This window comes from Homo sapiens, chromosome 12 (assembly GCF_000001405.40).
Source record: "Homo sapiens chromosome 12, GRCh38.p14 Primary Assembly".
NCBI lineage: Eukaryota > Metazoa > Chordata > Mammalia > Primates > Hominidae > Homo > Homo sapiens.
Window position 1 is genome coordinate 47,337,714 of NC_000012.12, and position 14,297 is coordinate 47,352,010.

Genomic DNA, 14,297 nt, shown 5'->3' on the forward strand with positions numbered 1-14,297 from the left:
CAGTAGCTGAAGAATATGCCACTTCCTTCTGGCCTCCATGGTTTCAGAAGAAAAATCACCTGTCATTTGAATTTTCCACTTAATAGGTAAGATGTCATTTCTCTTTTACTGTTTCCAAGGTATTTTGTTGTTGTTGTTTTTAGTCTTCAGAAGTTTGACTTTGTGTATGTCTTGTTGTGGATTTCTTTAGGTTAACCTTTTTGGAATTTGTTTAACTTACTGAATCTATAGGTTTATATCTTTTGTCAAATTTGTAGAACTTTTTGCCAATATTTCTTCGAGTATGCTTTCAGCCTTGCCTTCTTTCTCCTCTCCTCTCCTTCAGGGTCTTTTCTCATCACATGAATATGAGATCTTTTGTTATAGTTTCACAGGTCCCTGAGACTGTGTTTATTTGTTTATTTTCTCTTTCTTTTTAGGATTGGATAATTTCTATTTTTTTAACTTCAGTTTACTTAATATTTTCCCTGCTTCATCTATTCTGTCATTGGGCCCAACCAGAGAGTTTTAAAGTTTTGGTTACTGTATTTCTCAGTTCTAAAATTTTCATTTGATTCCTTTTTATGTCTTTTCTTTCTTTCCTGAAATGTTCTTTATTTTTTATTTATTTATTTATTTATTTTACTGATGCTGTCTTTTCATTTGTTTCAAGTGTGTTCATAATTGTTTGCTGATGCATTTTTATGAGTACTTTAAAATCTTTGTCAGATAATTCCAGTATCCTTGTCATCTCTCTGCTGGTGTCTATTGATTGTCTTTTTAAAAATTTATTTTGAGATCTTCCTTGTTCTTGATAAGTGTTTTTTTATTGAAATCTGGACATTTGGGGGTACTATAAGACTCTGGAGCTTATTTAACCTTCATTTTTTTTGGCTTCCTCTGACACTATTCTGGCAGGGGAAGGAAAGGGGACTACCTCATTACTGCCAAGTGAGGTTATCCAGATTTGCCAAATAACTTTGGTGGCTGCTGAGGTCCTTTCTTTTGGCTAGAGAGAGCAAGTTTTTGTTGGGGCTTTTTTGTTTGTTTGTTTGTTTGTTTGTTTACACCCATTGGCATTTTCAGGTTGCTACCTTCTTCAGCTCCAAGTCTGAGTTTTATGAGGGGTAAAGAAATAAGTGTATCCTCTTTGCCATTGGGTATAGGTGAGAATTCTGTTTCCTCATTAGGCCTCCATTGAGATCTCCCTGGCTGGTAGCATAGGGGTGCCTCACTATGTACCCTTACCAGAGTGCTGCTCCTTATGTACCCGCAGCTCCTTATATACTCCCGTTGTTACTATGGTGGAGATGTAGAAGGACCTCATTATGATTGGGTGGTGGTGAAACTCCTGACTCTCCACACTAGGCCTCCTCTGACTCCATCCCAGTGGGGATGGAGAAGGGTGCCTTATTACTATTAGATGAGGATGGGAATCCAGCTCCGCAGCTGATCTCCCCAACACTACATGAGAGAGGCTTCATTACCTCCATGCAATAAAAGTCTAGGCTCTCTACTCAGCCTTTTCTGATACCATGCTGATAAGGAAGTTTGGGCCCCTTTTTAAAGCTGCGCAAAGGTGGAAGTCTAGGCTCCTCATTCAGCCTTTGCTGGCATAGGTGGGAATGGGACCAGGGATTTTTCTGTGGTGTTTGTCTAGTGTAGAGCAGCTATTATCTCGAAGGTCTTTTGTCTTGCTAGGGTGTTCCTTTCCTGGTCCTTTCTCTCTCTCTCTCTCTCTCTCTCTCTCTCTCTCTCTAGACAGGGTCTTGCTGTGTTGTCCAGGCTAGTCTTGAATCCCTGGCCTCAAGCAATCCTCCTGCCATGGCCCTCCAAAGTGCTGGGATTATAGGTGTTGAGCTGTCCGGCCCAGCCTGGTCCTTTCTTTTGGCTAGAGAGAGCAAGTTTTTGTTGGGGCTTTTTTGTTTGTTTCTTTGTTTGTTTACACCCATTGGCATTTTCAGGTTGCTACCTTCTTCAACTCCAAGTCTGAGTTGTATGAGGGGAAAACAAAAAACCAGGGAGCTTACCAACATATTGTTTCTTCGATTCTGAGGTCCCTAGTCAGTCTACCTTCTTATCTCACCTTTTAGAGTTTCCCTGTGTTTGATTTATGTATGCTGGACAGGGTTTTCTTTTGTACTTAGTAGGAGGAATAAGGAAAGTACATCTATTCTGCCTTCCTACATGTGGAAGTCTTCACAGAGCATTTTAATACAGGTAATAACAGCATCTTCCTCACAGATACCTCAAAGGACTATTGTGACAGTTAAGTAAGTTAATTGGACCATTGGAATAGTATCTGGCATGTAGTAAGCCTTACACAAGTGTTAGTTCTTCTTATTATTAGATAAACAATATAATGTGGTTGTTGAGGGAACAGATTCTGGAACCGGACTGCCAAGGTTTAAATCTCAGCTCTTACACTTAACAATTGTGTTATTTTTACTTAATTTCTCTATGCCTAAACTTTCTCATTGTAAATGGTGATAATAATTTCTTCTTCACAGGGTTATGGTGAGAATTAAAATAATTAATATATCTAAAGCACTTAGAAGATTGCCTGACATAGAATAAGTTCTATTTAAGTATTAGATATTATTATTATTATCATTATTATTAGGTATTATTATTTTAAACTAAAGTAGTTTATTTTCTCCTCAAAATACCCCCATGAAGTAAGTCGCAAGGCATCATTATCTTCATTTACAAACAGAGAAATAGAAGTTCTGAGGCACACAGTGCCCTGCCCAAGGTTATAGAGAAAATAAGTGGCAAATTCAGCCTCAGTCACAGTTCTTCTGGCTTCAAGTCAACACTGAGCTGAGGTTTGGCAAAAGTGCAAGGTGAAAATTGGTATTCATGCTTAGAGAATGAGGTGAGGGCTTAGATGGCAAACAGGCAAGAACAGAAATTGTTCCTAAGACAGCACGACAGAAAGACGACCTGAAGAAGATGGAGAGAGTGTGGCAAGAATGTAGTTGTTGGGCTAAGTCTGAGTCGAGATACTGACGTTAAAGAAATCACCAAGATTATTTCCAGTGAGAGATTTCCGCCCCAAAATGCATTCCGTCAGTGTCTCCTATTCACAGGGTAGTGAAGGGTGTCCTGATAGCTTGCCACTTCTCCCCGCAGGGTGGTTTTTCTGCTGTTAATAGCTCAAGAGCCTAGTTCCAAGAAACAGCAGAGGCTGCACCTTCTTTAGTTCAGAATGCCCCCAAGTCTGACTCTCAATAGAGAGGCTTCCTCCCTAAGATATTCCTACTGTTGCCCCCTACACCCTGCCAGCTTTCTGCACACTTCTGAGCCTGTCCAAGTTCAGCATGTGCCTCAGGGCTACATCAAGTGCCACCAAGCTTTCCTTGAGACACCAGCCCAGACTGAGCTTGACCCTCCCTCAATCCTGAGCATTAACCATGTCTACCATGTTTAAAGTTACATCTAATTGATTAGGCACCATATAATATCTAATTTTATGTATCTCCTGATATGTTTCATATGGGTAAGTTCTGTATTACCAGCAAGACCATGGCTCTTAAGGCAAGGTTTGCCTTATACAGTTTTTTGGGGCTGGAATAACAGCATTTGACAGAACATGATACTACCGTATGTAGTGCATCAATTAATACTTGTTAACTCTCAAACATAGGGTCACAGCCAAGCAGAGCTGCTACTATGTGGGATATATAGGGCCCCTGGAAAATTGTTTATTGTTATTTAATTTTTATTTCATAATTAATAAACTTAACTGTGCAATCCAGCTAGATGTGAAGGGGATAGGAAAAATATAGAACCCAAAGAACTGCAGTGAGAGCACAAAGATTATAGGATATTGCAAGTAAATGGGGTGGAAGGGTGCTTTCCTGAGCTACAGAAAAAATGGTCTGGTGGTTAAGATAAAACAAGTCAAATTTACTAGCATTTCCCACAATTGGCAATGGTGATATTCTTGCTGGTCTTGCCATTCCTGGATCCAAAGTGCTCCATGGTTTCCACAATATTCATGCCCTCTTTTATCTTCCCAAAGACAACAGGCTTGCTATGTAACCACTCAGTCTTGGCCGTGCAGATGAAAAACTGGGAATTGTTTGTGCTGAGTCCTGCATTTACCATGAACATCACGCCAGGACCTGTATGCTTCAGGATGAGATTCTCATCATCAAATTTCTCTCTGTAGATAAGCTTGTCACCAACGCCATAATGGCATGAAGTCACCACCCTAGCACGTAAGGCCTGGAATAATTCTGTAAAAGTAAGAACCCATATAACAAAATCCTCTCTCGCCAGCTCTCAAGTACAAAATTTTCTGCTGTCTGTGGAACTTTGTCTGCAAACAGCTCAAAGAAGACACAGCCCAAGTTGATGATGGCATCAAAGAACACAGTGGGATTGACCATGACGGGTGCAGGTGGCTCTGGGAGGCATCCATCTGCAAAGCAAGGAAAATATATGTATACATTTTAAGAAGCCTTGCCTAACTAAACAGTTTTATTGAAAATGCTTTACAAATTGTGTGGGCTCTGGAAAGTATAGTGATTTATCAATAAAAATTCAGAATAATGGGTAGAAAGGAGTAGAAGAGATGCTTACATATTTATTTATTGTCAAATCAGGGCAAATATCCAGACATCATCTCTTCCTATTTTGGTCTAGGAATCATCTTTTCATCTTCTTTATTGTCACAGATGCCATTCCTGGATAATTTCACATTTCCCACCATGACAAAAAGATAGCGGTACCTTTTTTCATGTGTCTGTTGGCTGCATAAATGTTTTCTTTTGAGAAGTGTCTGTTCATATCCTTCGCCCACTTTTTGATGGGGTTGTTTGATTTTTTCTTGTTAATTTGTTTAAGTTCTTTGTAGATCCTGGATATTAGCACTTTGTCAGATGGGTAGATTGCAAAAACTTTCTCCCATTCTGTAGGTTGCCCGTTCACTCTGGCCATCAGAGAAATGCAAATCAAAACCACAATGAGATACCATCTCACACCAGTTAGAATGGCAATCATTAAAAGGTCAGGAAACAACAGGTGCTGGAGAGGATGTGGAGAAATAGGAACCCTTTTATACTGTTGGTGGGACTGTAAACTAGTTCAACCATTGTGGAAGACAGTGTGGTGATTCCTCAAGGATCTAGAACTAGAAATACCATTTGACCCAGCCATCTCATTACTGGGTATATACCCAAAGGATTATAAATCATGCTGCTATAAAGACACATGCACACGTATGTTTATTGTGGCACTATTCACAATAGCAAAGACTTGGAACCAACCCAAATGTCCATCAATGATAGACTGGATTAAGAAAATGTGGCACATATACACCATGGAATACTATGCAGCCATAAAAAAGGATGAGTTCATGTCCTTTATAGGGACATGGATGAAGCTGGAAACCATCATTCTGAGCAAACTGTCACAAGGACAGAAAACCAAACACTACATGTTCTCACTCATAGGTGGGAATTGAACAATGAGAACAGTTGGACACAGGATGGGGAACATCACACACCGGTGCCTGCCATGGGGTGGGGGGTTGGGGGAGGGATAGCATTAGGAGATATACCTAATGTAAATGACAAGTTAATGGGTGCAGCACACCAACATGGCAGATGTATACATATGTAACAAACCTGCATATTGTGCACGTGTACCCTAGAACTTAAAGTATAATAATAAAAAAATGAAAAAAATGAATTATGGCAGGCTTCAGAAACCATGCAAGTCTGGAGACAAATTGGCATGTTTAAACTGCTGAGAGAAGGGAAAAATAATAACTCTCCACAATTCTATACGCAGTGTGAATATCTTTCAAAAATGAAGGAGAAATTAAGACTTTTCACACAAAAGCAGAGAATTCATTACCCAGAAGCGGACTATAAGAAATATTAGAGGAAGTTTTTCAGGCTTAAGTTCTACATACCAGAGAGAAAGTTGGATCTACACAAAGAAATGAAGATTCCAGAAATGGTTAAAATGAAGATAAACGTAAAAGACTTTTTCTGACTTTTAATAGCTGTAAAAGATAATTGATTAGCTAAATTTTAAAAATAGTAGTAGTGAAAACAGGGAAAAGAGTGAGTACAGGGAAAGTACAGTAGTTTTGTGGGTGTGTAGCATATGTAAAAGCAAAATGTATGACAGCCATAACCCTAGTACACCAGTTGGGGCACCACACAGTGAAGAGGTAGAATACTCCTTGAATCTAGACTGTGATTAGTTTAAGATGTACATTGAAAATCTTAATTGTGGTGGCAGTTATATGACTGTATGCATTTGTCCAAATTCATAAAGTTGTACACTTAAAAGATTTAATCTTACCAATTATATATTATACTGCCTCCCTGCAAAAAAAAAGTTAGCGGTACCATCATGACTCACAATGTCATGACTCTTGGGAACCTGTTTATATTGGAACCATACAGACCTGCTTGTCTCTTCAGTTCCCTAGGTCCATTTATTTAATGCTGGTTACATCATTACACATGTCACTGGATCTTCTACTGTGTGGCCTGTTTCCAATAACTCTCTCCAAGGTAATTACTGCGATTCACTGTTGATGACCACAAATGCAAGTCTCACTAAGAGAATTATGGAAAATGTGAACAATAACCCATTTTGAGGTCCTTTAGTTTAAAATTGTGTAGCATAAAGGTAGAACAGCATGTTTTCCAACTCTATCTTCTCTTGAACTCTTTGAGCTGAATGTGATCTCTTCTGATACTGACCACCCTCCTGTCTTCCATACACCACCACTAGAATCACTTACCAAAAAAAGTTACCTTTTTTTCATGTTAAAAAGTGTTCAACAGAAATGAGTTTTTCTTTTTTTCTTTTTTTTTGAGATGGAGTTTCACTCTGTTGCCCAGGCTGGAGTGCAGTGGTGCAATCTTGGCTCACTGCAACCTCCGCCTCCCAAGTTCAAGCGATTCTCCTGCCTCAGCCTCCCGAGTAGCTGGGACTACAGGCACGTGCCACCACACCCAGCTAGTTTTTTGTATTTTTAGTAGAGACGGGGTTTCACCATGTTAGCCAGGATGGTCTCGATATCCTGACCTCGTGATCTGCCCACCTCAGCCTCCCAAAGTGCTGGGATTTACAGGCCTGAGTCACCACGCCTAGCCGAGTTTTTCTTTCTTTTCTTGTGTGGCAACTTTCCATTATGCCTGGCATTCCGAGTCATGCATGTGTGCAAGGTTTTGCAAAATCTTAGAGATAGAGAAGAGGCCAAAAGATGAGGTGTGAGGGACATTTCACAAGTTATGAAAATATAAATTCAAAAAGGTATCACTAAAACTATCCTACTAAATTATATTATTGATAGCATCCATTAAAATAGGCTATTATCAAAAAAAACAACAACAAATGCTGGTTAGGATGCAGAGAAAGGAGAACACTAGTCCACTACCGGGGGGAGTGGAAACTGGTACAGCCACTGTGGAAAACAGTATCGACCTTCCTCTAAAAACTAAAGATAGATGTGCCATACAATTCAGCAATCCCAAAAGTCACAATATCGAATCAGCCTAAGTGTCCCTCAATGAATGGATTAAAAAAAATTGTATACATATACACAATGGAATACTATTCAGCCACAAAAGAATGAAGTTCTGTCATTTGCATTAACATAGATGGAACTGGAAGATATTATGTTAAGTGAAATAAACCAGGCCCAGAATAATGGGTAGAAGAAGTGGAAATATTGCATGTTCTCACTCATATGTGGTAGCTAAAAATATTGAGCTCATGGATGTAGAGAGTAGAATAATAATTACTAGAGGCTGGGAAAGGTTGGGGATGGGAAATAAAGAGAGGCTGGTTAAAGGTGCAAAAATACAATTAGAAGGAATAAGTTCTAGTGTTCCATAGCATAGTAGGGTGACTATAATTAACAATAATTTGTTGTATATTTCAAAATAGCTAAAAGAGAATATTTGGAATGTTCCCAACATAAAAAATAAAAAAATGTTTGAAGTGACAAATCTCCCAATTACCCTGATTTGATCATTACACATTGTATGCATGTTTAATACATATCACACGTATCCCATACATATGTACAATTATCATTTATCAATCACTTGAACCCAGGAGGCGGAGGTTGCAGTGAGCCCAGATTGTGCCATTGCACTCTAGCTTGGGCAACAAGAGCAAGACTCTGTCTCAAAAAAAAAAAAAGAAAGAAAAGAATGGATGCTATGAATGATAGTTTAATAAAATTTTTATTGATACATGATAATTGCGATTCTCCTGCCTCAGCCTCCTGAGTAGCTGGGATTACAGGCGCCCACCACCACACCTAAATCATTTTTGTATTTTTAGTAGAGACGGGGTTTCACCATGTTGGCCATGGTGATCTTGAACTCCTGACCTCGTGATCTGCCCACCTCAGCCTCCCAAAGTGCTGGGATTACAGGCATTAGCCACCGCACCCGGCAGCATCCATTATTTTCTTTTTTTTCCCCCCAAAAGCTATCATACTCCTAGAAATAGAGAGGCCCTTCTGGGCAGGTCTGTTGTGATTAGGAGAGCCTTCCTCTGCCTCCCAGAAAAGACACCAAGCACACACTGGACCTGTGTGATTAAGCGGCACTGAGAGGCCTATTTTATAATTTTAAAACTTGTTAAGTTTCTTTGGTCACCATTAATCTCTGCCACAATCACATGTATCACTCAGGCCACCACTACCAACATTACTTCTTAGTTTCATTCAAAGGAATGTTGTCAAATATGTGGATTTCTCCTACCCTCAAATCCAGATAAAGCAATGGGCATTTTGATGAATACAAAATGTGGAATTAGTTTTTTAGCTAAAAAACAATTGCTCAAGATCTTCGTTGGCCCGGAAGGATAATTTCTTTCTAAGTACAGTGTGCTGGGCTTCTCCCCTCCCAACTTAGAATGCAGATAGCAGTTCAGGAACAGTTTTTAATAATCTAACTTCACAATAGACAGATGTGGTGGGTATTAATATAACAGAAATAAACTATTATAAGCTACTGCTCACTGTGAGCTCTGTGCTGTGCTGGGTAGTTCTCTCCTGTTATCGCATTTGCTTAATTGCACAACTAATGTTTACTCAGTGTTTGGTACTTCTTCTAAATGCAGCTTAGCATAGTACAGAGGTTGTCAAATGTCAGTGGACTTTGGAATTACCTAGAGAGAATGTGACAAATGTGTCCCCACCTCCAGAGTTGCTGATTCAGCTGATGGGGATGAGGGTTGAGAATCTGCATTCCTAACACATTCTCAGGTGATGTTGATGCTGCTGGTCTGGGGACCACACTTTGAGATCACTGACATTGTAGTTAAAAGCAGTGACTTTGCTATCAGACTGATTTGGTTTGAGTCCTCTAACTTTGGATACATTTTGTAACCTCTTGCCATTTCATTTCCTCATCTGTAAAATTATACCTCCAACATTAGCTATTTTGGGGATTAAATGATATATATGTGTAGTGTTTAGTACAGTTTTTTATGTGTTAGAACTCAGTAAATGTTAACTGCTACTACTGCAGCAATTACTACAGTGCTACTGTTACTACTAAATAGAATTAGAAAATGACTGATTTTAAAATCATTTTTAAATTGTCAATGCCACCTCTTCTCTCTACCTAGAGCTGAGTGCCAACATCTGTTATGACATCATAATGAGATTAATAACTAAGACCCTAAGGAATAATATATTGGATTTTTCATATTATTATGAAGGTTCTCCATCACAACTTAAGAAAAATATGTAAACTATGTGTCATTTTATATTTTAAAATTATTATTATTATTAGTTATTGGAGACAGGTTCTCACTCTGTCAGCCAGATTAGAGTGCAGTGGTGTGCTCATAGCTCACTGTAACCTTGAACTCCTGGGACCAAGTGATACTCTAGTCCAGCTAATTTTTCTTTTTTTTTGAGACAGGGTCTCACTCTATTGCCCAGGCTGGAGTACAGTGGTGTGATCATGGCTCACTGCAGCCTCCATCTCCCAGGTTCAAGTGATTCTCTTACCTCAGCCTCCCAAGTAGCTGGGACTACAGTTGTTTGCTACCACACCCACCTAAATTTTGTATTTTTTTGTAGAGACAGGGTTTTACCATGTTGCCCAGGCAGGTCTCAAACTCCTGGTCCTAAGTGATCCTCCCACCTTGGCCTCCTAAAGTGCTAGGATTACAGGCATGAGACACCAGGCTTGGTCATATTTTTTTTTTTTTTTCTTTTTGAGACGGAGTTTCACTCTGTCACCTAGGCTGGAGTGCAATGGCATGATCTCGGCTCACCACAGCCTCTGCCTCTGGGTTCAAGTGATTCTCCTGCCTCAGCCTCCCAAGTAGCTGGGATTACAGGAGCCCACCACCATGCCCAGCTAATTTTTGTATTTTTAGTAGAGATGAGGGTTCACCCTGTTGGCCAGGCTGGTCTCAAACTCCTGACCTCAGGTGATCCACCTACCTCGGCCTTCCAAAGTGCTGGGATTACAGGTGTGAGCCACCATGCCCAGCCCTGGTCATCACTTTTAATAAGAAACACAACCCTGAAAAGAATCTCTAGGGAAGGAAGTTGTAATTGACTCAATTTATTAACTTCACTAAACATTATTGAATATATTATTATGGGCTAACTAAAAAATAATTCCATTCAGTGGTCACACACACACACACATGCCCCAAAACAAACAAACAAAAACAAACAGGAACCTTCATGAAATATTGCTTAGTCATAAGAAATATTTTATAAGAGTTACCATATACTTTGGCCATAGAAAATTCCAATAACTCATTCAAATGAAATTAGCCTGCCACTAATCTGCAAAACGATAAGAGTGTCAGAGATGGCATAATATATAAGTTGGAAAGATGCTTATCACCTATTAACCACATACTGATGTAGCACTGCTATCAGTTGTATGATTGCAGACACCTGGAAGGTCATCCTAGCCTCTTTCAACCACTGGCATCTAGATTCTTGTTATAGGCTGAATGTGTCCCTGCCAAGTTCATATGTCGAAATTATAGCCCCCTCTGTGATGACATTAGGAGGTGGGACATTGGGAGGTGATTAGGTCATAAGAGGGGAGCCCTCATGAGTGGGATTAGTGCCCTTATAAGAAGATAAGTAAGAGAGATGATCTCTCTGGACTATGTAAGAATACACAAAAAGACAGTCTTCTACAAACCAAGAAGAGGGCAATTCACCAGCTTCCAGAGCTGCGAGAAATACATGTTTGTTGTTGAAGCCACACAGCCTGTGGTATTCTATTATAGCAGCCCAAACTGTTCAAGGCAATTCTTTTTTAGGTTTATACAGAGCTACTAAAAAATAAAACTGGTAAGTTAACACCAAAGGTTTCATCCAAATCATTTAAAACAAGGGTGGTAATAGTCACATTAAAGAAATGTAACTTTCTATGTTGGCTTTGAATGCTCTAATATCCATAATGAGATTTTAAAAAAATAATACACGCACTTGGATTCTTTGCTTTGCAGGTCTCTTGGACATTTAAGTAGAAGTGACATTTATTACCCAATGCTTACTAATACTGTAGTTCGGGGATGGGCAAACTACAGCCCCCTTTCCCCACCTCTGTCATTTTCTAAATAAAGTTTTATTGGAACACAGCCACTCTCTTTCTTTCACATATTGTCTCAGGCTACATTTATGCTACAGAAGGGTTGCCAACCTCTGCTGTAGACAGTTACTTGGAACACTTTGCAGAGAAATGTGGCAAGGAGAAATGTAATCTCTTTCCTAGAAATATCTACCCAAAGAGGTAATTTATATTCAGTAAAATAGTGTCCTAGTACAGTAACAAATTAGCCTTACAGTTGATTTCCTGTTAACTTCAGACTGAAATATTCACTAGCCCTTCTGAATGCTCAGTGTCATTACAATGATGTATCCACCAGCCATGGGCAACACTCTACTCTGGGCCAGGAGTTGTCCTCAGTTTTGCATTATTCTTGCTTAATTTTAAAAGTCAAACTTACATTTATTAAGGTTAATAAAGTCCCAGAACCTCATCAATGGCTAAATAACCTTTCTCTGGAAACCACATTGTTTTTTTCAGAAGTAGTACTTCCCTTTAAGCATCTATAAACCTATTTTATTTTATAGAACATGGTATTGGCCTGCCTTTAAAAATGAGTTCCTTTTTTTTTTTTTTGAGACAGAGTCTAGCTCTGTGGCCCAGGCCCAGGGTGGTGTGCAGTGGCACGATCTCAGCTCACTGTAATCTCTGCCTCCCAGGTTCAAGCGATTATCCTGCCTCAGCCTCCTGAGTAGGTGGGATTGCGTGCACCACCATGCCAGGCTGATTTTTGTATTTTTAGTAGAGATGGGGTTTCACCATGTTGGCCAGGCTGATCTCAGACTCTAAGTTTCTATTTCTTTAACAAATGTCTTTCCAAGTACTTGAGGTACAATTTCTATGATGCTTCCAAAAAAAAAAATTAACACATATTTGTTGGGTGAATAGAGAGTATGTATCAGAGTGGGAGGAACATGAGAGTTCAACTCTCAGAAGTTCCACTTCCTGCTAGTGTATGATAACCCTCTGAGCCTCAATTTCCTTATCCTTAAAATAAAAGTAATCTCTATGTCATAAGATTGTGGTCAGGATTTTAAACAATGCATGTAAAATGCATAGTGAGAGCCAGACACTTTACAAGTGGTGATTTAGTGAATGCCAGTGAAGTGGGCTTAGTTATTTTTCTTTTCAGATTTCTTTTTGATTTAGTTGGATTTTCTTAGAGGTGAACTAGATGCTTAAAAGTAGTCATGCTTAAATTTATTCAGGCAAACTTTAACAAATTTAAGATACCGTGCCTTATACTGAAACAACAGTTTCAAGACACAGTTTGTAGCTTGAACTGGAAAGAGAATATGAAGATAAAGGACACCAGAAGGCTCTGGCACAGCTCTGGTGTCGCCGACGCTACTTAGAGCCCTAACTCCCTTACCCTCTTTCCCCAGCCTTTCAGTGCTTCACAGATGCTTGCCATTGGTCACACAGTGGCCAGAGAATGAGTGTTTGGATGATTGTCTGTCAATCCTCCATCCTGAGAAGAGAGGCAATAATTACCCCTGCCCAGATGATCCACAGCCATGGAAGGCATTCATTCCATCCTTTGGGGCAGTGATGCTTAGAAAAGCCCTCACCTGATGGCAGGCTGAAAGATCTGAATTGCAGTCCCAGTTCCGCAACCCGTCAGCTATGCAACCCCAGACACAGCAATCTGCACCATTCTGAGTCCTAAGTGTCTTCAGCAAATTAAATGAGATATCTGTGATCCTTCCAGATTTATAGCCTTTTCCATCAGGGAAGTGAAGTATATGCATGAACTTTAAAGGAATAGGGGGCTATATGCCAGCCTAAAATATCCATTCTGATTTGGGACAGGTTTCTCAGACATTTATTCTCAAGATATCCCACATTGGCTCTTTTCTCAGCTGCTAAGATCTGACCCTTGCAATAATCAGGTTTCCAGAGGTATGGAACACAACAAATTAGTAGGCCCTAGAGGGCTACTAATGGCTGTCTCCCACCTATGTAAATACACATAAATAATCACTCAGTCATCCATTCTAGAATCTTGCTAGTGTTTGCATTATACTGACTGGTGGAGCATCTCAAATCTGAAACTTGAAATGCTCCAGTGAGTATTTCTTGTCAGCGTTCAAAAGTTTCAGATTTTGGAGCATTTTGGATTTTGGATTTTTAGATTTGGGATGCTCAGCATGTATAAGAAATAAATTTTTGTTTTTGTTTTTTAATAAATTACCTAGTCTCAGGTATTCTGTTATAGAGCAGAAGCCAGGCTAAGACTGTGTTCATAATAGTGGCTCATCATTTGTTTGGCAATATATTTGTTATTAAAATATTTCACTGTGACAATACTCACTGTGATAAATTTTATTCTACAAACAACTTTCTTTAGGGTATTTTTTTACAATCTGAGGATTATACAAAACCACCTGATAAAAATAGGCGCAATAATTCTTGGGCTTTTAGTTTCAAAGTCTGTTTTCCCATCTGTTATCCAAAGTCTGGGTCGGTCTACACAACCAAAGCAAAATGTAGGATTCTGTAATTATCCTTTGACTCAGAGACAAATAGAATATCAGTAGAAAAGGGACATCTGTGCTCATCTGATTCAATACCAGTCAGAAATATGATTCTTTGAAACATCTAACAACCATAGAGGACAATCTGCTTTATTGAACCCATGAATTCAAATTCTAATCTCATCTGGAAACACCCTCACAGACACACCCCAAAGTAATGTTTAGCTAAATACCTGGCATCCGGATCCAGTCAAGT

General features: G+C 39.3%; 1 non-coding gene and 1 pseudogene across 1 annotated transcript; both read right to left on the reverse strand.

Moving 5' to 3' along the window:
- PPIAP45 (peptidylprolyl isomerase A pseudogene 45) lies at positions 3,901-4,376 on the reverse strand (annotated as a pseudogene).
- LOC124900322 (small nucleolar RNA SNORA64/SNORA10 family) lies at positions 8,453-8,584 on the reverse strand. Its single transcript, XR_007063625.1, has one exon. It is a non-coding gene; the product is annotated as a small nucleolar RNA SNORA64/SNORA10 family (small nucleolar RNA).
- Positions 8,585-14,297: the final 5,713 nt, after the last annotated feature.